Here is a 25,308-nt window from a genome sequence, read left to right on the forward strand (position 1 = left end):
AATCAGCAATAAAACCAACAAATAAACTCCCAGTCCTCAAAAATCATTACTACCTAAAGCAAATGAAGTTGTCCAGAACAAATTCCTTTGGTTGCATTATAAATATAAACATCATGCATGCTGCACGTGGGCTAACCAGAAGGCTTCATTCTGCAGTGTGGGCAATTTGGTCTGGGGCCAAGAGTGGGCCAGTTAGCAGGGATAAAAGCCAAAGGGGTTAAAGTCCAGCGTAAGGAGTGATCAGTGTTTATGAAGAAGGAAATTTGTTTTTAAATTTTTTTTTTTTTTAGACGGAGTCTTGCTGTGTCGCCCAGGCTGGAGTGCAGTGGCGCAATCTTGGCTCACTGCAAGCTCCACCTCTGCGTTACGCCATTCTTCTGCCTCAGCCTCCCGAGTAGTTGCACTACAGGCACCCGCCACCTCACCTGGCTAATTTTTTGTATTTTTAGTAGAGACTGGGTTTCACTGTGTTAGCCAGGATGGTCTCCATCTCCTGACCTCATGATCCACCCGCCTCGGCCTCCCAAAGTGCTGGGATTACAGGCGTGAGCCACCGCGCCTGGCCAAAGAAGGAAAATTTAAAATGTTCCATTTGACCCAGGCTATTGCACTTTTGCTCAGGGCCTGAGATAAAAAGGTGGATTCAGGTTCATCTGTGGGGCATGGTATGGTATTAATATCAGACCACTGGATCATCTTCTCTTTGCTTGCACCTTGAAGTCACTTTCTCTTTCTGGTGGCCAGGGCCTGGCAGGAAGAGAGAAAGGCTCATGGGAGCCCTTAGAGAGCCTTGCTTTGTCATTTTGCCATATTGGAGACTCCCTTTCCTTAAGGTCTTCCCTGTGGTGGTTGACAGGAAATTGATTGACACCCCTCTGCTGTCTGGGTATGGGGTCCTTCCTTTTGAGTGAACAGGTTTGCCTCTCCCACAGAGGGTGAGGCAAGTGACCAGAGAGGATAACTCATGTTGAAATTTGTCCTAAATCTCAGGTCCCACTAATCTGGCTCAGCAGAGCTTTTGAAGTAGTTCAATTTTTCATTTGATAATTCTTAAACATAAGAATTCCTGCTATCACGCATGATTAGCAGGAAAAAAATTCAGCCATCCTTTCAAGCGATCCCATCTCTACTTTCTGCTTAAGAGTATATCTATCTGTGAAGATCGTGTAAAGTGTAGTGGAAGCTACAGGTTGACAGAACTCAAACTCTCTTTCCACTGTTATTTATAGCAGAAGCATCCACATTGAGTGTGTTTATGTAGTATGTGAAAAGACATGGAACATGCTGTGAGGAGCTTCTGTTTTCGTGTTAGACCAACCCATGTCTGAGGCACTGAGCTAAATACCTTATTTTCCTTCAGATTTAATGTGGAGATTTAGGAAAGTAAGAGGGGAGAAGTATTGAGCAATTGATTCTGTGTGTATTTATTTATCTGGGTTAAGAGAGGACTGGCCGGGGAGTCAGTGCAGGTGGTCCACCTGGGGGTAAACTGGGTATCTCCACCAACCACCACCATTACAATTACAGCTACTGATATTTGAGTATCTATCATGTAACAGACACAACTGTAAACATTCTTCACATAGGACCCATTTATTCAGCACATATTTGAGTATCAATTGTGTGCTTGCAGTCATCAGGAAAAAAGGCTCTCACAGAACCTGTACTCCAGTGTTTGGGGTGGGGGTGGGGGGCAGTGGAGTTGGAGAGAGACAGATGACAATGATTAAGTATTGTCTTCTAATGTACTCCAGCAGCGCTAAGGAAAAAAGACAAAGTGCTTTATCTCAATGACAATTCTCAGTAATCCTGTAAGGTAGGTACAGTCATCCCAGAGGCCTTAGGAGCTCCAGATGAGCTTCCTGAGCCCCTCCATCCCACTCCTTTGGGATCCAGTTTCTTTCTCTGTTATGTGAAGGGCTAGCATTATATGGTTTATGATTCCAGTACAGGAACCCTCTCCTCTGCAACACACACACACACACACACACACACACACACACACATATGCACACATACACACACACATTGTGGGGAGTTAACAAAGGCAATGAGGAGAGTGAGTGGACCCCATAATTCTGACAGGAGCTCCTAGGAAATGTGCAAGTGCTGGTGTTGAACACAGGCCTAGCCTGAGGCCTGCCAAGGCTATTTTTGTTGAACCAAATGTTTCTTCCCTTTTACCTTCATTGTAAATATTTCCGATTTTCTGCCCCAAAACAATAAAAAGAATGAACATCCATCCTAAGAGTGTACAAATATATGCACATTTCCAGACTTAAAATCCTTAGATGGTAATAAGAGACTCAGATAACACAGCTAAAAACACGTTTTTCAGTTAAATTAAGCCAGTGTTTGAGTGTTCTTATTATAAAGGATTAGATGCACACATGTGCATGTGTCTGTTTAAGGGGAGTACCAATGTAGTCTGGCTACCTTTCCCTCTCTCTCTGGGCTGCCTGCCATTGTTCCTTGGCCTTTGCTCCCTGAGGACCTGTTTCGCATCTTTGGCTCCAGAGTAAGCAACCAAAAGTAGTTCTGGGTCCATTAGCACCACTAGAAAGTCTTAGTTTCGATACTTTCTCCCCTGCACATTCTTCCTTTGAGCCATGCATGGGTAACTCACTACAACATGTGTTCTATGCCAAGGTTTTATACAAAATGTGAATGTTAGAAGCTGCCCCTGTTACAAACACAAATGGCGGCATCCAGATATCTTAAACTGGACAGTGAGACCCAAGGCCTGCTGATCAGATTGATTGACTGTCTTGAGAGCTGAGATGGTTACTTTGCAGTGGTTGGAAGAACAACTACACCGTGGTGTGGACTTCAAAGTAGTTTGATGATCAATATCAGCAAGGAGATAATTCAGTAGTCAGCAGGTGAAAGGAGAAAGAACATGTCTTTGTGCTCAGTTAGCAAGGGTCATAGAAGATTGCCCAGTTCTGACTGGCTGGGCAACTTAGCCAAAGCAAAAGGCTTTCTATTCACTTAGGAAAGCCAGGAGATCTCCATATTGAGCTACATTTGTGCCTTTTACGTCTTGTAGTAAGTAGGTACCTATTCTTTGTTTAATCCTCTTAAACAAATCCCCTTAAATCCTGTCTTCTCTGCTTTTCTTACTGTGTGCATCTGCTTCCTGGTTCTTTTAAAATTGCTTCAGCTTAACCCACTTCCTGCCTTCTCAGAGATCTCCATTCACTATTCAGCAGACATTTTACTGAGCATGTACTATATGCCAGGCACTGTCCTAAGGGCATGGAGATCAACAAGACAGATACTATCATGGTCCTTGGGAAACTTTTGTTCTCAAGGCCAAAATCAGCTCTGACATAGCCCATCCAAGGACCAGCATTTGGAAACTACTGTATTTAGGTTATTTCCAAGTTTACTTTTCTCAAGTAAAAATAAGCAATATCCCTTTGAGATCTTTATAGAGAAAGCACGAAAGAGCTTCATGTCGCAAACCACCAAGCCAAGAGCAAGGCAATTCTTATTTCACTTCACTTCAAATATTCATCTTGGGCCTAGAAAACCATGTCAAGGTGTTATGTGCCTCTTTTTGGTCTTGCCCTTGGCTTAGTGGTCCTGAATGTGAATGCGGAGTATCTCCTGTCCCTCCTAGATCCTGGAAATAACCACCCATAAGCCTTCGCCTGCAGAGCCCAGGCAGCAGTCATCTCTTGTGCCAAGTCCCCTGCAGTCATCCCTGCTGCAAGAGACCTCACTTGCACAGTGACAGGCTTAGCTGCATGCTTGGACACTTCTCAGCCATTGCTCTGTACTGGTGTCTGTTCTTGGGCTTATGCCTAGCTGCTCCATTAGATTATAAACCTATTGAGGGCAGCTGCCCAGTAGACCTTGTACCTAGCTGATACTTAATAGTATTTGTGCCTTGATGGAGTAGATGTAATATACTTCCGTTCTTGAGATATTTGCTAGACAGGCATGTCACTTATTTCTTTGAGTCACTGCTAGAGGGATGTTAAGATCTTCCACATCCCCTTTTCTTCTGTGCTGATGGATATTCTTAGAGTACTTACCAAGAGTTTTCTAATCTGTAGGCCTACAGAGTTGCAATGATTGGATTTTTAAAAATTACATATTTAATATGAAGAAATTTTCAAGCAAGTAAGCATCCAGACACTGAAGCGTACACAATGCTCTTGCCAAAAGGACAAAGATGATGTGAGATAGGGTTCCCTACTAAGAAATATCCTCAATTAGAAGCATGCTCAAATCCATCCTAAGGATAATGTCACACTTTGAAATTTGGTGACTGAAAGACGCTGCCATCACTGGATACGTCCTTGGATAATAAACTGTGATGTGAGTTAGATAAAGAATGTTGATGAATTGCTGTTTCTAATGATTTTTGCTTTACTCATAGGGGTCAAACCTTGGTCAAATATCATGGAAATCCTGGAGGAAAAAGATGGAGTTGATACGGAGCTACTGGTTTATGCAATGACTTTGGTGAACAAGGTTGGTTGACTATGTTATGGGTTGAATTGCGTCACCTAAAAAGATATGTTAAAGCCCTGACCCCTGGTATCTGTGCTTGTGGGCTTATTTGGAAATAGTGTCGTAGCAGATATAATCTGGTTGTGAGGGTGGGCTCTGATGCAGCATGACTGTGTTCTTATAAGAGGAAAAGAGACACAGAGGGAAGACGATGTGAACATGCAAAGAAGACAGCCACAAGAGGACAGGCAGAGGTCAGAATAATGCATCTACAAGCCAGGGAACGCCACAGATTGTTGGCTGCCAATTGAGGATGAGGCAAAGACAGACTTCCTGTAGAGCCTTCAGGGAAAGCATGGCCCTGCTGACACCTTAATATCAGACTTCTAGTCTTTCAAACTGAGACAGAATAAGTTTCTGTTATTTTAAGCCACCTAGTTTGTGGTACTTTCTTATAGTAGCCATAGGGAACTAATACATTGTGAAAATCTAAAATTTTCCCTCTGAATAAGAGCCACACCATGTGTACACCCATCACAGTGGCTGGAACCACAGCTGCAGTGTGCAGTACGGGAGAAAATCCTTTATGCGACACGTGGAGTGGATGCGTGCAGGTGTGTGTGCTTGTGAAGGCCTGTGGGTGCCTGCGTGTGTTCATGCTTTGGTCTTTTCTAGTAAATCCAGGAAAGTGACAGTGAGAATTTTATGACTGCTTTTCCTATCAAGTTGGCCCCTTAAAATAATAATAATAATAATATATTATTATTATTATTTGAGGCAGAGTCTCACTCTGTTGCCCAGGCTGGAGTGCAGTGGCACGATCTCGGCTCACTGCAGCCTCCACCTCCCAGGTTCAAGAGATCCTCCTGCCTTAGCCCCTCTAGTAGCTGGGATTACAGGCACGTGCCACCATGCCTGGCTAATTTTTGTATTTTTAGTAGAGTCGGGGTTTAGCCATATTGGCCAGGCTGGTCTTGAACTCTTGCCCGCATGTGGTCCACCCGTTTTGGCCTCCCAAAGTGCTGGGATTACAGGCGTGAGCCACTGTGCCTGGCCAAAATTATTTTTTAAAATCATTTTTCCTTGAGGGAATATAAATTATGAAGTTTTACTCTAAGAAAATTGTTCACATGTCAGGAAGACACGAGGTGCACGTGTTCCACTGCATATTGAAGTTGGACTCTTGGGCTGAGATAAGGAATCCTGGGGGTAGGTCCCACTTGTCTCACGTGATGGTGACCACACCTCTTGCTGTCATTCCTCCTGTTGCGTCCCTCCCTGATCACCACCTTGTAGGGCAGTCTTGGTCCTTGGTGCTCTTCCTCAGAGGTGCTGCTCTGAAACAAGGGGGCCCATGCTGACCCAGAACAGGCCCAGTCTCAGGTCTGGAGTTTCTCCATTTGGATCGACATGCCTTAGAGCACAGGCACCTCGCCAGCCACCCCATGGGCCTTCCTTGTACTCTCCTTACACGCTCATGCTGGGTGTGAGCCTGCAGGACCATCTGCAGTGATGGTTAGGGCTTCAGAAAGATCCAGAGTCCATTCCTGAAATACAGCTGGAGAAACATTTTCCCTGATGAAGTGGGGATAAGTTTGTAGAAAGCAGTATAATTATGAAGAGCACCTTCTCCTACTAGAGAGTAAAATGTGCAGACTCTGAGGATTACAACAATGTAGTGTGGCCCCTTCCTCAGCAGACAGATGATTGGTGCAGAGGAGCTCTGAAACAGACCTCAGTGTATAGAACAACTCACTGTACAGTTAGTTAACATTGGTGGGGACGGGTTAGGTACTGATTGGAGAGGTGTTGTTAAATGGAAGTAAACAAAAACATACTTTAACCATACACCACAGTAAGCCCCAAGGAGCTTAAAGCATTTAATGGAACATAGCAAACTGTAGGAAGAAAAAAAAGAGAGAGAGAGATGAAGACTAATTAGTCTGTGGTTGGTAACGTTTATTTTAAAAATAAAACCAGTGAAACAGGTTCCAGAGGAAGAGATTTAACTATTTTACTGCATAAAATTTTAAAAGATCTTATTTACAAAATGAAAATCACAAATTATAACTAAATGCAAATGACAAACTAGGAAATTGTTTACAAAAAGAAAGGTAGAAAATGATGTTATCCTAAATATATTATGAATTCAGTAGAAAAATGAAAGACATTAAACCAACTAAGAACAAAAGAAATACATATGAAAACAACAAGACATGTTTCCCAGGTCACATTGGCAATGATTGCCTTTTAATGAAGTATCATTTCTTGATGAACACCCAGGAAACTCCTATAACCCTGGTGGGAAATGGGCACAACTTTTCTGAAACATAATCCTAAGAATTCTGCTTTTATTTTCAAATCTTTTTGTGAGCTCATTTTACCATTTGATTTGAAGCAATTTTCTGTTGGTTTCTAAGGATTAAAGTCATCTATTTCCTGTCCTTTTTAGTCACTGCCATTGTTTTGGAAAACACCGAATTCAGCAAAAATGGAATTTTCACACTGCCACAGTGTTCCCCATTGTAACATTACCTATTTTATTGATAAGGCCATTCCCAGCTATTCTTATGATCATAGCAGTACCCACACAATGTGGTACTTTGTTGCTAATCACTGGCAGAGACCCAGTGCCTGTCACCCTCTGTTTGGCATTCTGTGGCATTTGATGTCCAGGAATCCCTCACTTACTCTTTCTCTTCTGGCAGTTCTTTCTCATCCTTTGTTAGTTCTGGCCAAGGAGACATCCAGAAAGATCCTTGAGGTCATTCATTCAAATGTAATCCTTTCCTTAACTCATTTATGCCTAGTGTTCCGTTATTGGAACGCTAAGCTTGTGTGAGTTATTTATATCCTGCTTCTCAAGGTCATCACCAAGGTATAATTTTTCACACACAAAAAAAAAAATTTGCAACCTCCGGCATAAATGCGTTAAACAAGTCATGCCGGGTTTGTTTTGTTTTGTTGTATTGTAGTAATGCATGTTGCCCAATGAGTAAACTCCTCTGAGATACCAAACAAAATAACAAATTAAAATGTTAATCTGGGTCTGGAAAACATTCAGACTGTGAAATCTGGGAAATTATATTGCAAGTTGGGTGGTTTCTAAGTATTGATATCAACAAAATAAAGGCCCCTAATAACATGGAATTTTTAAAAATGGACATTTCCATGACAAACAAAACAATGACACTAAGTCCTATCCTGGTAACTGTTCTAAAACTGATTGCCTTGTAAAATAGGAGAAAGCACACTGGGGTGGGAGGTACAATGAGTAACAAGAGGGGTTACCGTGAGGCTGGCTTAGGGTGTTCAGGGAAAGCAGGACCCCAGGAAGCCATGGGGAGAGGAGTTGTTCAGTGGGGCTAGGGGATAACTAACCTGGATGGTACATGCTGAGTAGTTGCCTTTGTTTTTACATTTACTTTTATTGTTTTAAAATTATTGTCTTAGTCCATTTTGTGTTGCTGTAACTGAATACCACAGACTGGGTAATTTATAAAGAAATCGATTTCTCACAGTTTTGGAGGCTGGGAGGTTCAATATCAAAGTATCAAGGTACTGGCATCTTGTGAGGACCTTTTTGCCATGCCATCCATGGTAGAGGGCAAGGGGGTTGTAGGGGAAGAGAGGAGAAGGGGGTGAAACTTACGCTCTGTTGGGAACCTATTCCTTCAGTAAGTAACCCACTCCTGAGATAATGGCATTCATCCGATTTACCTCCTTTCAACACTGTTGCTTTGGGGATTATGTTTCTAACGCATGAACTTTGGGGGGCATATTAAAACCATAGCATTCTGCCCCCTGTCCCCAAAATTCATGTCCTCCTCATGTGCAAGATATATCCATTCCATCCCATTAGCCCCAAAGTCTTAATGAATTCCAGTACAGACTCAAAGTCCCAAATCCAGAGTCTCATCTGAATCAGGTATAGGTAAGACTCAAGGCACGATTCATCCTGGGGCAAATTTCCCTTTAGCTGTGAGTCTGAAATCAAACAAGTTACCTACTTCCAAAATACGTTGGAACTGGCATAGATGTTCACATTCCAAAAGGCAGAAATAGGCAAGAAGGAAGGGATAACTAGTTCCAAGTCCAAAGCCCAAGAGAGGAAAAAACAATATTAAATCTTAAGACACCAGAATAATCTATTTTGACTCCATGTCCCACATCCTGGGCACACTGGGGTTGGGGTTGAGCCCACAAGGCCTCAGGCAACCCCATCCCTATGGCTTTGCTGGGCTCAGCCCACGCTTCAGCTCTCCTGGGTTGGAGCTTATGCCTACAGCTTTCGCGGGCTGGATTGCACACTGGTAGCTCTACAGTTCTGGGGTCTTGGGGGCTGCCTCACTCCCGTGGCTCCACTAGGCATTGCCCTAGTAGGGACTTTCTACAGTGGCTTCACCCTGTGACAAATCTCTTCCTGGGACCCTAGGCTGTCCATAACCTTCTTTTAGATCTAGGTTGAGGTCACCATGGCTCCACGGCTCTTGTATTTTCCACACCTGCAGAATTAGTACCATGTATTTTATGGCTTGTACCTTCCAGAGCAGCAAGGCCTGCTTGAGTCACAGCTGGGGTGGCCAAAAAATCCTGCACCAGAATTCTGGGAGCAGGATCCTGAGTGGCCCTGAGCAGTGAATGCTGAGGTACCGCTGGTGCCTGTCCAGAAACCTTGCCCTCAAGGTCCTAGCTTGCTTAGAAGGTCTTTGAAATGCCTTTGGAGTTTTTCTCCCATCGTCTTGGTGAATAACGCTGGCTCCCTTCTATCCATACTATAATCCTTTTAGCAAATGGTCACTTGGTCATGCCTTTGGTTTGCTTTCCAAAAGATGCTTTTTTACTCTTTACATGGCCAAGCTGTGACTTTTTCAAATTTTTCTACTCTACTTTCCTTTTAATAAACTCCATCTTTATATCACTTCTATCCTCTTGCATCTTCCTATAAGCAGTTAAGAGTAACTATACAACTCCTTCAATATTTTTCTTAGAATTTTTTTTCACCAGGTATCCTAGTTCATTGCTCTTAAATTCTGACTTTCATTAGAGCCCTAGGACATTGACATATTTCAGCCAAGTTCTTGCCACTTTAAAACAAAGATGGTTTTTATTCTGGTTTCTAATACCTTGATTCTCGTTTCCATCTGAGACCTCTTCAGAATTGGCTTTACCATTTGTATTTCTACCAACCACTTCAGCAATCTCTAAGAAGGCTCTGACTTTTCGTACAACTATTCTCTTCTTCTGAGCTCCCACCAGAGTCAACCAGATAATGCTCTAGTCAATCTAGGCTTTTTCTAGCTTGCTTCTCCAAATTTTTCCAGCCTCTACCTGTTACCCAATTCCAAAGCTGCTTTCACGTTTTCAGTTATTTGTTATAGCAACAGCCCACTTCTCTGTATCAATTTTATGTCTTTGTTTTGTGTTGCTATAACAGAATACCACAGGCTGGGTAATTTATAAAGGAAATAAATTTATTACTCACAGTTCTTGAGGCTGGGAGTCCAATATCAAGATGCTGGCATCTGGCCAGGCCCTTCTTTTCTGTGCTATCCCGTAGTGGGATACACAGGGTGAGGGAGGTTGTAGGGAAGATAAGATGGTTGAACTCATCCATTTACCAGGAAACTACTCCTACAATAATTAACCCAGTCCTGAGATAACAGAACTAATCCATTCATTACCTAATCACTGCTTAAAGGTTCTCCCTTCCGACACTGCTGCATTGGGGTTTAAGTTTCCAACACATGAACTTTGGGTGGGGGGCACATTCAAACCATAACAATGCACCTTCTAGAATATAGCTATATGAGTTTTAACATGTACATGGAGATGGATCACCTTCACAATTAGAATACAGACTAAGAATAGCATAGTATTCCCCCATGTTATCCTTTTATACTGACACTCTGAGCTCCTATATATAATCCTGAGAAACCACTGATTTATTCTCTGATCACTGTAATTTTGTCTTTTCAAGAATGTCAGATGGAATCATACAGTAAGTAACCCTTTGAGGCTGGCTTCTGTCAGTATAATGCCTTTTGAGATTAATCTTTTATTGCATATATTAATATATGCAATATATTAATTAACCCCTTTCCACTGCTGTGTAGTATTCCTTGTAGAGATGCATATGTGCTTACCCATTCACCTGTTGAAGGAGATTTGTGTGTTTATAGCTTTTGGCTTCCACAGATAGAGCTGCTATGAACATTCATGTACTGGCTTTGCCACAATGGTTTTATCCTACAAGAAAGACTTGGTGCAATCAATGAAAACCCAGGGAGGGGGAAGAATGTCCTTTAGGACGGAATTTCCCCCTCTGAGAGAGATTTGTAAAGATTTACTTGTCACAGGCCTTGTCAAGACAAAGTCTAAGAAAAAAACAGGAGGAGGGATACCAAGTGTCAGGCAGCTATGCTCGGCACCTTTAGTGTCTGAGGGTGAAGGCATCAGGAAACATTTACCTCGCAGACTTTCCTGGGGAAGCTGCCATTTTTGTCAGAGGTGGACAACTTAGCAGCAGAGGCTGCAGGGTGGAACTGGGAGGGGAGGCCCAGGGACAGGTGGAAGTGTGGTAGAATTTGATGAGCCTATTAGAGAATCAGCCAAAAAAAAAAAAAAGATGAATTTTTTAAAAGATGTATAGCACCCTCTTGCACAGCTGGAAAAAGAAGCTGCATTTGTGAGTGGCAGAAGGCCATCATTTCCCCCGCAGCCTGCATAAAAGGTGATAGTACGCAGGCTTGGCTCAAGCCCATATTTTCACTGCGGAAATGACAAATGACCTGCTGATACCCTCAGTTCAGGGCCTATTACTGAGCAAGGGGCAAGAGTTTCCCGAGTCTTTTTAGTTCTTTTTTTTTTTTTTTTTTTTGAGACAGAGTCTTGCTCTGTCGCCCAGGCTGGAGTGCAGTGACATGATCTTGGCTCACTGCAATCTCCGTCTCCCGGGTTCAAGTGATTCTTGTGCCTCAGCCTCCCAAGTAGCTGGGATTACAAGCATGTGCCACCACATCCTGCTAAATTTGTGTATTTTTAGTAGAGACTGGGTTTCGCCATGTTGGCCAGGCTGGTCTTCAGCTCCTAGCCTCAAGTGATCCACCTGCCTCAACCCCCCAAAAGTGTTGGAGTTACAGGTATGAGCCACTGTGCCTGGCCCCTGCTTACTTCTATAGTTCTCATTTTTAAATTATTTACCAGTGATTCCCTCACCCTTTATGGTTGGACTTGCTAAAGCAATGGGGATTAGGTTTAGCAGTTTAACCTCCTGGAAACTTCTGAGTGAAAGAACCTCAGTTGACTCCCAGAAAGGTGAAAGGGGAAGAAGAAGGTGGGGGAACGAGGTGAAGAGACTACCAGCGGCCTCTCTCTGTGCCTGGGGCTGGCCCCCACGCTGCTGTGTAGGAAGTTTTAATTCTGATGCTAGATGTCCCTTCACCTGCATTCCTCAGGCTGTGCATTTTGCAGAGTCAGCTGGCAGTTAGGGCATCTCTAATTGTTCACCCTGCCTGGGCCTGGTATTGTCATTTCCCTCTCATCTTTTAATAAGTTCTAGAGTTTTCACTAAAAGCAAAGGATGATAGGATTCTTTGAATGATGTGCAATTTTTCAATCAATGTTGGAAGCAGAAGGCAGCCCTGATGACCGTTATTGCCTGTCAGTGCGATGTGGTTAGCCTGGTTCCTGTAGACACTGGTGTGTGCTGTCATACGTGGCGTGGCGGCCCAAGTGTGAACACCTATTTATGATGGCTTCAGATTCACAGCTTCCTGCCTTGTGTCCTTATCGGGGCCTTGAATAATTAGGCTATCACATTACAATTAGTTTTCATTAGTTTCTGATCTCAATAGCAGTGACTGGTGTCCTCTTTGCTCAGCTTAAAAAGGAAAACGCCATTATTCGAGTTATGAATAGAGGCCTTCTTTCCAACACTGATAGCCCCAAGATAGAAGTGTTAGAGAAGCTGGTGCTATGAAATGATCTTTACAGAAGTGTTGGTCTTATTCCTTCCTAGGCAAGTTATCATGTTTAGAATAATTTTGGAATGTGTGTCTTGTTCTTAGAAATGCAAAGATAGTGAAGTAAGTAGGGACTAAAGGCTGAGACTGGAATGGCAGCTCTGAGCCCAGGCTTTTATCCCAGTGTCTTCAGTCGCTTCCTGTTGCCTCAGGCGTTTATCCTTCTCTCCCTCCTGTATAAGATAAAGGGCTTGCAGTAAATCTCAGGCTCCTTCCATCTGTGAGCCAGGGCCTTGTCTCAGATACCCTCCTTCTCTTAAGAGAGGTAGAATTCAAAGAGAAGTCAGCTTTTTCTTTCTTGGTTCTCTTTTTGTCTCTTAATTGCTGCCTTGAAATTTCTCAAGTTTTTCTAAATTTCATAGACCACGGGGAGGCCCTATTGAATTTAAATACAGTTTAATAAAATTAAATTGTTACAACTCCAGTTGTTGGTGTATGGATCTTAACAGGAGTTTCTAATTACAAAGTAGGTTAGTTTTCTATTGCCACGTAACAAATTACTGCAAACTTAGCAGCTTCAGACAACATCCATGTATCATCTCACAGCTTCCGTGGGGCAGGGAGTCCAGGCATGGCCTTAGTAGGTCCTCTGCCCAGGGTCTCACAAGGCTGCAGCCGAGGTGTCGCCCAGGACTGAAGTCTCATCTGAGACTTGGGGTCCTCTTCCAGGCCTATGTAGTTGGCAGAATTCATTTCCTTGCTTCTGTGAAAGTTGTGGTTGCTCCTGCCTCGAGGCCAGTGGGATAATCTCTTTCCAGTCCAGCTCAGAGAAGAGCTAAGCCTTCTTTTAAAGGGCCTACCTGATTATCACCTAGGAGAGTCACCCCTTCGATTAACTCAAAATCAACTGCTTTTGGACCTTCATTACATCTGCAAAATCCCCTCACCTTTGCCACCTAATGTAACCTAATCATGGGAGTGCCCCCCTCTCATGGGAGTGCCCAGCCCACACTCAAGCCAAGGAGATTATGTAGCACTTGTACACCAGAGGGGAGAATATTGGGGTTCATTCTGCCTGCCACACTGAAGAGGCTTTTGCTCAAATAAATTTGTCATCTGTCTGGATTGATTAGTGGCCATGATTATAACAATATGCCTGGATTAGGCATTGGAAAATGCCCTGAGAGCCTCAAGGCAGTCTTCTGTGGTGTCTCTGTAGCTGGTTCTTCTCTTCTTCCAGACGTTATCAGGACTACCAGACCAAGACACCTTCTACGACGTCGTGGACTGCCTGGAGGAGCTGGGCATTGCTGCTGTGTCCCAGAGGCACTTGAACAAGAAAGGGACTGACCTGGACTTAGTGGAGCAACTCAACATTTATGAGGTACCAGACCATGCCTTTTGTAAGGTATCGTACAGCTTTGGCAATTGTCAAAGGCTGAGATGGCGCCTACTTTAGACCACGCGTAAAGCGTATGAGCACCACCAGCTTATTAGAAACTCAGCATCGTAGGCTTCACCCCAGACCTACTGAATCAGAAACTCTGAGGGCCCAGCAGACCATGTTATGACAAGCCTTCCAGGAGAGTCTGATGCATATTCAAGCTCAAGAACCCTTGATATAGGGGAAATTGGTTAGCTATTTTCCTTTAAAGAACATGCCGTTTGTCAGCGGCACCTTCACTCAAGGAGACGGGGAGAGAAAGAGATAGAGACAGAAATCACATTTCTTATACCTGAGTGGGGTGGAACTTCAGGCAGGGCCAGATACATGATTTGTAGCAACCAATGCAAAACGAAAATGAAGGACCATTTATGGAACACTCAAGCAAAAGTGCTGTTAAAGATACTGAAACAACTCTTCACTTTCTTCTGTGGTTTCTCCCACCTTGTTATGGTGATTTTCTAATTTGGTATGTAATTGTCGTAAGGAAAGAAAAATTAAAAATTAAAATTTAAAATTATTACCATGAATTTTACCATTCATCTTTATATTATGAAGTGTCAGTTTAGAATGCAAATATAAGAGCCTTTAACTTGTAGGCAGAATCAGCCAAATTACCTAAATCATATTTTGTAGCTCCCATATGCACGTGTATTTTGTTCTTACCAAAACAGCAGAAACAGTACGAAACCGACTGCACTGTTTTTACATCACTTCTTGGGGTGTGTGCATTCTACCAACACTCTGCCTTTAACTTACTAAAGAGTAAGAAAGGGCTGAAAGAAAAAGGATCTAGGAGCTGCCCTATCTTTTCCTTTCTTTATGTTGTCATTTCAGCATAAGTTGTTGTCTAACATGGGAAGGTAACAGGGTAAGAAAGGATATGAGAGGCTCCATGGGTTGTCTTCTGTCTGCACTCAAATCCATCTTGAAGGGAAACATGGCCCCCAGGGCTGTCAGTGCCCCTGCCTGCCCAGTTGTAGGTGTAACATACTTACCTTGTACTCACTTCCAGTCCCGCAGAACTCCTGCCTATCACCAGTCTACCAGAATCTGTGCACATGAGCAGCAAGGAATGGCAGACATGCATGTTGTACCTCTCTCCTCTGCTGGTGCAACAGCACAGGTCACTCACCCGTGACGCCGGTTCTGCTTTGGGCTACATATCAGGGCTTCGGACCTTGTTGACTTGAGTTCAGACTGTTCCCTGTGGGTTAATTTTAGGTCAAATGCCCTCACGGTATTGAAAGTACTTAACTATGAGAGTGTTGAAATGACACTCTTTCTTGCTGATCCTCATCATCCCAGTGTCCTGCCATGGCCAGTTAGGGGCAGATCTGAAGATGTGTTTTCTCTTGGGTGGTATGACCTCAACCAGGAAAGTGAATTCCTCTAGGCCCAAACTTAAAGAATACAATGACCCAGGCAATCCCTGAGGACATTCCACCAGTGGCATTCTGTGTGTATGTCATTGCAAGAGCCTTTGGGGCCTGTATAACCTTCCACCTCTGGTTGGTTGGTTGTTGGTTGTTTTTTGAGACAGTCTCTCTCTCTGTTGCCCAGGCTAGAGTGTGGTGGCGCGATCTCGGCTCACTGCAACCTCTGCCTCCTGGGTTCAAATGATTCTCCAGCCTCAGCTTTCCCAGTAGCTGGGATTACAAGTGTCCACCATCATGACCAGCTAATTTTTATATTTTAGTAGAGACAGGGTTTCACCATATGGGCCCGATTAGTCTTGAACTACTGACCTCAAGCAATCCACTTGCCTCAGCCTCCCAAAGTGCTGGGATTACAAGTGTGAGCCACTGTGCCTGACCCTGGTTGTTTTTTCGTTTTGTTTTGCCCTCCACCCATCCTTCACATTCCACAAAATTCACCATTTTAAAGTGTACAATTTAATGGTTTTTAGCATATTCACAAGGTTGTACAATCATCACCACTATCATATTTCAGATTGCTTTTGTCACTCCCAAAAGAAACCCCCACACCCATTAGCAGACACTCTACATTCTTCCCTGTCCCCCATGGCCCCAAACCGGTAATCTACTTTCTCTCTCTATGGATTTACCTGTTTTGGACATTTCAGACAAATGGATCCATACAAAATGTGGTCTTTGTGGCTAGCTTTCACTTAGCGTGTTTTCAAGGTTCACCTACGTTTGCAGAATCACTACTTTGTTCATAGTTGTGCTGACAGTATTCTATTATATGGATACACCATATTTTGTTTATCCATTTATCAGTTAGTGAATACTTGAGTTATTTCTACCTTTTGGCTATTATGAATAATGCTGTTGTGAACATTTGTGTTGAATTGAAGTTTGTGTACATACGTTTTCAGTTCTCTTGGGTTTATACCTAGAAGTGAAATTGCTGGTCATATGGTAACTATCTTTAACTGATTGAGGAATTGCTGGATTGGTTTCTAAAATGGCTGTCCCATTTTATATTCCTACCAGCACTGTATAAGGATTCCAGTTACTCCACACCTTTGTCAACGCTTATTATTGTCCACCATTTTTATTATAGCCAGCTAGTAGGTGTGAAGTGGTATCTTACTGTAGTTTTGACTTGCATTTCCCTGTTGACTAATGATGTTTAGCCTCTTTCTAAGTGCATATTGGCTGTCTGTATAGTTTCTGTGGAGAAATATTTATTCCGATCCTTTGCTCATTTTTTAATTGATTTTTTTTTTTTTTTTTTTTTTTTTTGAGATGGAGCTTTTTCTCTTGTTGCCCAGACTGGAGTGCAATGATGCAATCTCGGCTCACCGCAACCTCCACCTCCCAGGTTCAAGCGATTCCCCTGCCTCAGCCCCCTGAGTAGCTGGGACTACAGGCATGTGCCACCACGCCCAGCTAATTTTGTGTTTTTGGTAGAGATGGGGTTTCTCCATGTTGGTCAGGCTGGTCTCAAACTCCCGACCTCAGGTGATCCACCTGCCTTGGCCTCCCAAAGTGTTGGGATTAAGGGCATGAGCCACCGCGCCCAGCCTTGATTTTTTTATTGTTGAGTTTTAGGAATTATTTCTATATTCTGGATACTAGACCCTTATCAGATATATAATTTGAAAATATTTTCTCTCATTCTATGGGTTGTATTTTTCCACTTCTGATATAACTGATCAGTCTTATTAATAGTAATACATTTAAAAAATATTTCCTATTTCCACTTATAAAGATAATATATACTCATTGATGAAAATTTGGAAAATAACAAAAAGCATTTTTGGTATATGAAAAAGCATAAGAGAAAAAAAAATCACCCATGATTTTATTACTAACCATTTTTAACATTTTGGTCTATTTTTCTGGTCTTTTTTGTATATGTGGGTGTGTGTTCATGATGAGGGACATAGTAGTCTACATATAGTGTTGCATGTTGAATCTTATTAGCAAACATGTTGGAAACATTTTCCCTTGTCATTACATGTTTAAGAATTTAATGTTTTAGTACAATATTCTATCTGTGTGTATACCATAATATATATAACTAGTCCCTATTTTTTCAGATTTAGATTATTTTCAAAGTTTTCACAATTACAAATGCTGTTATGAGGAAGATATTCATTCATAAATTTTTCTGCACCGCTAGATCTCTAGGGAAGATATTTTCCATTTCCTTATGGTCTTCACTGGATAGAAATGGAGAGAGTGATGTATAACTCACTATTTTCTATAAGTTACTGTCATAATAAGTGACAAGTTGAGGAATAGAACAGAATTATCTTTATATGATCTTGGGAGAGAAGAAACTGGGCCCAACATATTTGCTGGCAGCACTTGAAGCTGCCAACAGCCACCAGCTGGCCAGCTCTTTGTGCGCTGCTCTGGGCATCTTCTCTTCCAGCCCTGCCTCACTCCCTCAGTTTTTTATTGTTACTGACCTGTGGCCCTGGGAGGCCAGTAGGTGACAAAGGAGTATGTTCTCATGGCTCCTAAGATACAAGATGGAGAATAAAGTAAGCATACTAAAGATGGAAGAGGAAGAGAGCTCAAGAGAGTTGGTTTAAATAAAGGTAGAAGATGGACTTTTTCCAGCACAGATATTTCCTTCCCTTAGCCCCCTCACCACCACGATCGGAACTCCTTCCATCTCTTAGATTCTGTTCAGCCAGGGGCTCAGATGACCACAGATTTGGATTCCATAGGGTCACTGTATATTCAGAGGCCAGCATGATGCGGATGAATTGCCCATCAGTGAACAAACTGGGAGAGAGTAGTGAAGAATAGCCTTGATACCAACTCCAGGAATCTAAAAACTATCCTCTGCTTCAGGGCACATTTTCTCTCCAGCCTACCTGCCTCTTAAGCCACCTCCTCAACTTCTTTCCCTTCATGCCAGACTTTGAAGAAATTATACTGTGTTCACCATCTTTCTTTTGTCGAATTACATGTGCCTAATATTTGAGCATCAAGTGTATATCATTCACAAATGAAGCATATTTGTGTCATTTAAAGAGCAATAAAACAAATACCATGTACCAGCTTTAAGAACTAAAACATTACAACTCAGAAGTGTCCTGACAGCCGCTTCATTGTCATCCTACTACTCCTATCCCCAGTATTCTCTTGCTTTCTTTAAAAATAATTTAACCTGAAAACCACTTATTCTGTGAGCTAACATAATCATATTACTAAATCAGAATTGGCTAATCAGAGATCTTTCCCAGTTATCTGGCTGTACTAATAATTTCAAGAATATAGCCTATCGAGGTGCAGATGGATCAGAGAGAGGTCTGGGACATCCCTTGTGACTCCCCAGGTCCTTTTTTCATGATTCAGATGTGTGCTTTCTGACCCGGAACAACAGACAAAGTCTGTAAGTGAGGTTCACAAGGTCATCTCACCCAGCAAGGAGCATTTAGTTAGGAAACATCTCTACTTCATGCCCCAGAGAGTCATGGCTCACAAATCCATAATTCTGAGTTTATTTACTATAAGTAGTCCATAGCCAGGGACATCCTGCTAAGGGTATTCCAGAAATAAGAACTCTCAGCAAATATCTTTAATTTATTTGTTAGATAGTCTAGTTAATTCGCATATTTATGGTAGGTGAGGCAGGTCCTCACATGCTTGTGTCCTTTCCCCAGAAACATCTTTCTTGTAAGATGAGTGAAAGGATCATCAGCCAGATGCTTTAGCTCCTTCTTCTCAGTCTGCCCCTAAACAATGTATTATTGAATTTTGTCTGTTTTCAAGCTTTTTATAAATGGAATCGTATCTTTTGACTCTTTGTAGAATATGCCCTTTTGCTCAGCAGTTTTGAGACCTGTTCCATGTTGATATATGGATAACAGCTTGTTCATTTTCACTGCTGACGAATGTATCACAATTTATTTATCTGCTCTGCTCTGAACAGATGTTAGGTGGTTTAAATTTTTGTTGCCTTGACAAACAATGCTACTACGAGAGTTCTTGTACTTCCCTGTGTGTGTGTGTGTGTGTGTGTGTGTGTGTGTGTGCAATAGTTAAGATGTTTAGGTATCAGTTTTATTCATGCTGCATCAAAATATTTAGAAGTTTTTCTTCCTTCTCTAAGCCCTGGAAATGTTTAAGTGTCATTTCATATTCTGGTCTTTGATGGCTTATTAGAATTCTGTTGGAAAATTACATGGGCCTGTGATGTTAAATATATATGTGTGTGGGGTGAGGACAGTGAGGGAAGATTTTTGGTAACTATATTTTTTTCTATGGAAACTGGTCTGTTTAAACTTCCTATTGTTACAGGATCAATTTTGCTAAATTACATTTCCTAGGAAATTAGCCATTTCATCTGTATTTTAAAATTCCTTAGCAAAGGAATTTTTATTAGTCTGTTATGAATATTTTAAATTTCTTCTCTTTTAGTAATCTTCCTTTTGTTATTTCTTACTTTGTGTTTGTGACTTCTCCTTTTCCCTCCAGATTAACTAATGGTTTGTCTATTTTGTTGATTTTTTTTCAAGCAATAATTCTGACTTTTATATGAATTGCACTGCTTTTCTGTTTTGTAACTCAATGTTTTGCTATTATCTTTATAAATCCCTTTTACTTTCTTTCAGTTTACCTTGTTATTTTTCTGGATTTTTGAGTTGAGTAATTGATTTCTTTTCATCTTTTAACCATCATTGCATTCTTGTAATACAATCCATTTGGTAATGATGTTTTTTGGTGGTTTTTTTTTTTTTTTTTTTTTTGAGATGGAGTTTCACTCTTGCCCAGGCTGGAGTGCAAGGTGCGATCTTGGCTCACCACAACCTCCGCCTCCCGGGTTCAAGTGATTCTCCTGCCTCAGCCTCCCGACTAGCTGGGATTACAGGTGTGCGCCACCATGCCTGGCTAATTTTGTATTTTTAGTAGAGACAGGGTTTCTCCATGTTGGTTGGGCTGGTCTGGAACTCCCAACCTCAGGTGATCCACCCTCCTCGGCCTCCCAAAGTACTAGGATTACAGGCGTGAGCCACCGCACCTGGCCAATGATGTGTTCTTTTTAAAAAGGTGCTGTTGGAATTCTGGTTGGTACTAATTTATTGAAAATGTTTGCATTAGTATTCATAAGTAAGATTGGTGTGTAGCAGCTAGCTCCTCCCCACCCCATCCCTGCCACCTCCCCTTCCTCTTCCTTTGTTGTAAGCTGTGTTTGTCAGTTGGAGCATCACTGTTATAGTAGCATCATAAAAGAATTCCTGACCACTCCTGCACATTGCGCCTTGTTGCTTTGTGTCCAGATGTCTCTGGGGTATCTCTCTGATTGTTCCCCCTTAGTGTCCTCCCTGGATCCTCTGTTTCTGACCCCTCCCTTTCAGTGGTGTCCTTATCAGACCTCCTCTCTGTCTGTGTTGTCTGTCTATATTCACCCTAGTGAAGTCAGCAGCCTTGGGGGCTCATCGCTATCTTGACTCCATGCTTTCTTCTGGGACCCAAGGCTGCTTGCCTCTCTACCTTCCTTTTCCTCTGCCTGCTTGCCATCTTGTATTTCATTCATGTACTTGGAGACCACTATATGTGACATATTCTGCTAGGGCTGTAAATACAGAGATAAAATATCTGTACCTGCCCCCAAAGAACCTCCATTCTTTAGTCTAAGGCAAGCAGGTAGCTGATTCCCCTAGCAGAGGATGGTGCAGAGGACTTAGGACATGCCAAGGAAGCTCTGACTGTATCTGACATGACCACCTGAAAGCCACACATGAAATGCAACCAGCCCCCAAATGAACCCTTTATTTTTCTTCCACAACAAAAACAAAAATTCTGAACGGACTCTTCATGTCTCCACCTCTGCAAACAGTGGAGTCTCCCAAGTTACAAGGCTAGAGCTATACTGGACTCTTTTCTCTTTCCTGTGTCCCCTTATTTAGGAATTTGATTGCTGAAAACAGCACTTCTTCTCCATTCCTGTGATCATTTCCTTAGCTCTGGCCCTCATCGTTTCTTGCCTGAAGTATTGCACTATCTTCCTATTCATTTGCTTGTCTATTACTTTGTTCATTCCACAAAACTTCATTGAGCACCTGCTATGTGCCAGGCACTATTCTAGCCCTGGTGACCCAGCACATCAGGCAAGACCACTGCCCTGAGAGGGCACATACTCTAATGAGGTGCAGACAGCAATCAAGAACGTGCGTAAGCAGAGGATCTGAGATCGCAAACATGTCTATGAAGAAAAGAGACGGTATGAGGTGGGGGCCAGAAAGAGGGGCAGCAGCAAGGAAGGAAGGCCTGATGAAAGACAGTGAATGAGGGAGAGCATTGGAGGAGGTCAGGCATGGCAGGTGTCAGGGGTTGAAAGGAGGCTGGGTGGCTACAGGGGTAGGGCCTGGAGAGCAGCATGTTCAGAGCCTGGGGGACATTGAGATCCCATGAGGGCCTTCTCCCCATTCCAAACTCCCACTGGCTGAAAGCAAGGTGATCCTCCTGAAAGTCAAATCTCATTATGCTGTTCTCCTGTTTAAGAAAACGAATGAATGAGCTTTTCATGACCAGTAAGATGAAACCAAAATTCCTTCCATTGGTACAAGGGCCCTCCATACTCCGAGGCCTTCGTGCCTCTGTGGCCTCATCTCCACCATTCCCAAGATGTGTCTGAAGTTTCAACCACACTCAACTTCTCCTGTTTTTGAACATGAAAGGCAGGTTCTTTGGGGAACTTTCCTTTATCCATTCTATTTTCTTTGCCTGGAGTGTTTTTTCTTCCTATTCTCAAGTTATCAAACTCCTACTCCTGCTGCTGCAGTCACTTCAGATGTCATCTCTTTCCCTAAGGCTCCTTGGCAAGATGGAAGGGGCTCCTTCTGTTTGTCCCCCTACTGCCATTCATAGCTGATGAGAGGGTGCTGCCTTGTGTCCACACCTCTGATTTAACACTCCTCAGAATGTGCGACCTGTTTCCCTTTGAGCTACTCTAAGCCATATGTCTCATGCCTCTGTCTAGCCCCAAGGGCCAGCAGCACAGCTGCCCAAAGTAGAAGTTCAGTAGGTGCTTGAATGAAGGTCTCCTTCAAATACCACACATTTCATGATAGTGTCTACCAGGTGCTGAGTTGAATGAAGGAAGGATGCTATTCAGTTGGAAAGCAGTCACCTTAAGGGGCAGATGCCCTGTGTAATAACTCAAGCTGTGACAACTGAATCCTTTAGATAGCTGGCAGAGTTGGGATTTTTCTTTCTTTCTGAAAGTTAATGCATCTCAAAAATATATTCATTGCCAAAAGACAACCAACTTCAATATATGCAAGGGCAGCAACGAAGCCTACAAGCAGAACCAATTTTTTTTTTCACAAAAGACTGAATGTTCTCAAGCAATTGCAGAGAGCTTGGTTAGCCTTCTAGAATTCTTCCTAATAGAGAAGGACATCTGGTGGCCATTATGTCTTGGACTTGCTGGAAACAGGCCCAATTTCCTGTAATTTAACTCCATTTCAGAAGGGTGATTTGATCCATGTTTAATTAAATTCATTTGAATTTTTATGGCTTCATATTATTTTTTTCACATACATAAATTGACAGAAAAGAAAATATTTTGTCAGATTACGTGTTCTAACTTTAGATTCTGAAAATGTGTCCTTGTAAGGGGTCAGGCATCTTAAGGCTGAAGACTGTAGAGGATGAGAAATAACTATTACTGTTAAGAGTAATTAATAGGTCCAATCTCTGAAGATTCTTCCTTGTCATAGGTGATAGGAAGTATGTATCAGTTATCTTTTTCTGCATAACAAAACACCCCAGAACTTAGTGGTGTAAAACAACAATCCCTGTTCCTGATGTTTTGGGTTAGGAATTTGAGCCTTATTCAGCTGGGAAGTTTTCACTCAGCTGCAGTTATCTAGTGGTTTGAGTGAGCTGAGTGGTCTAAGACGGCCTTAGTTTATCTACTTGGCCTGGCATTTGGTACTGGCTGTTGGCTGGGCCATGTGTCTTCAACAGCCTAGCCCACATGTCTTCCCATGATAGCAGTGTTTCAAAAAGGCAAGTCCCAGTGTGTAAACACTTTTCAGGCTTCTGTGTGCATCATGTTTGTTGATGTTCCATTGGCCAAAGCAAGCCACATTGTTGAGCTTTCATGGGTGATGAGCACATCACAGTCTATATTCTTCTCTCTATTTTGTGTGTGTTTGAGAATTTCCACAGTACAAAGTTAAAGAAAAAAACTGTTCAAGCATTAAAAATGAAACCACCATATGATCCAGCAGTCCCACTTCTGGATATTCATCAAAAAGAATTGAAATCAGGATTTTGGAGAAATATTGGTACTCCCATGTTTGTCGCAGCACTAGTCACAATAGCCAAGGTGTGGAACCAACCAAAATGTCCAATGATGGACGAATCAATAAAGAACATATGGTATATACAGGCAATGGAATATTTTCAGTCTTAAGACGGAAATCTTGACATTTCCTACAACTTGGATGAACTTGTAGGACATTTTGCTAAGTGAAATGGCCCAGTCACAGAAGGACAAATACTGCATATTTTCACTTATATGAGGTATCTAAAATAGACTCACAGAAGCAGAGAGTAGGATGGCCATTACCAGGGGCTAAGGAGAGGGGGTGAAGGAGAGTTGCCTATCAGCAAGCATAAAGTTTTAGTAATGCAAGATGAATAAGTTATAGATATGTGCTATACCACATCGTCCCTCTAGTTAACAATAATGTATCGTACACTTAGAATCTGATAAAAGAATAGATCTCATGTTGAATATTTTTACTACAATAAATAAAAAGAAAAAAATTCTTAAGAATGTTCAGATCATTCAGTGGCCTCAAAGACTGGTAGAAGTGGTTACAGATGTCACCTTAAGTTGCCCCTAACTGCTTTCTTGGTTACATGGGGATGTGTAAGCCGTCAGGGCTGGATTCTGGACCCTACTTGCTCCTTGCCCAAGTTTTTAGTTTACAAATAGCGTTCTACATTTAATTAAAAGAGTTAGAAGGTATTTGATGAGAGGTCTAGCAAATGAGTCACTCCATTACTTGGGACAGTGTTAGAGGTCTTGCAGGACTGGCTCTATCTCACTTAGTGCTCCCACGGAGGATACTCATTGCGCTGTATTTGATTAGGTCTGACTCTTACCACATGTCCTAAATAAGCCTTGGGTGAAAAGCCGTACTCTCCAGGTGTTTTCTAGCTCCCAGTGTTCCTGAGTCTAAGCTGTAGTGCTCACTAGAGCCGAAAGCATTTGGAAATGCCACCGTAGCCTAGCATGTGCAAACAAAGCCTCTCTTCCTGTCATCACTGGACACTGATGACTCTAGAATTCTTATTATAAAAACAAAACCATGAGTGAACAGCAGCCTCCAATTTCTTGTTATGTTGTCCCTGACTGCCAAGCATGAGGCTACCCTTGGGTCTACCAAGATTCTGTGGCCCATTTGCTCCCTCCATGCACTCTTCTTGTTTTAAGTAGCTTGATGTTTTGTTAATTATCTGAACTTCAGAAAGCCCTAACTGCATGCCATGTTATGGTGTTGCCTTGATAATTTTTCCAGATTTTTCTTGGCCTTCAAACTTTCTGGTTATCTCTACCTTCCTTGACAAAGGGCAGTTAAAGTGGATTTCACTTCATGCACACTGTGTGCCTCTCTGAAAGGACTTGTGAGTAGAACGTCACTTGATCCTTGGATCTCTGAGGTTAGACAAGGAATTAGAAATATCTTAACTCTACTTTAGCCCCTAATCTTATCATTCCAAATGTGTGCTTAATAAGAAGCAGAATCAACACATCAGGTCAGAATAAGTTCAAATGGTCTAGAATTTTTATTTATAGAAATGAAAAAAACATTGGCTAGAAACACTTAAAAATGCTGTCCTTTGTTAGGTATGTGGTTGTTCTCAAACTTTTCCCCACAGAATGTCATTTAAAGTTTTAAAGTTGAGATGACATATGTGCTTAACTAAATGCTTAATTTCTTTTTAGTTCTTGCAGTTACAATGCAGAAGGATACTCCTAGGAAAT

General features: G+C 42.2%; 1 protein-coding gene across 45 annotated transcripts in view; it reads left to right on the plus strand.

Moving 5' to 3' along the window:
• The window catches only part of FHOD3 (formin homology 2 domain containing 3), a 482,508-nt gene that overhangs the window by 300,571 nt on the left and 156,629 nt on the right, over positions 1–25,308 (plus strand). For all 45 annotated transcript variants that reach the window (XM_011526189.2, XM_011526190.3, XM_017026008.2 and 42 more), the window contains 2 exons: positions 4,391–4,485; positions 13,669–13,812. In XM_011526189.2, coding sequence (XP_011524491.1) covers positions 4,391–4,485; positions 13,669–13,812 — 239 coding nt within the window. The remainder of the gene's footprint in view (positions 1–4,390; positions 4,486–13,668; positions 13,813–25,308) is intronic.

This window comes from Homo sapiens, chromosome 18 (genome assembly GCF_000001405.40).
Source record: "Homo sapiens chromosome 18, GRCh38.p14 Primary Assembly".
NCBI classification, from domain to species: domain Eukaryota; kingdom Metazoa; phylum Chordata; class Mammalia; order Primates; family Hominidae; genus Homo; species Homo sapiens.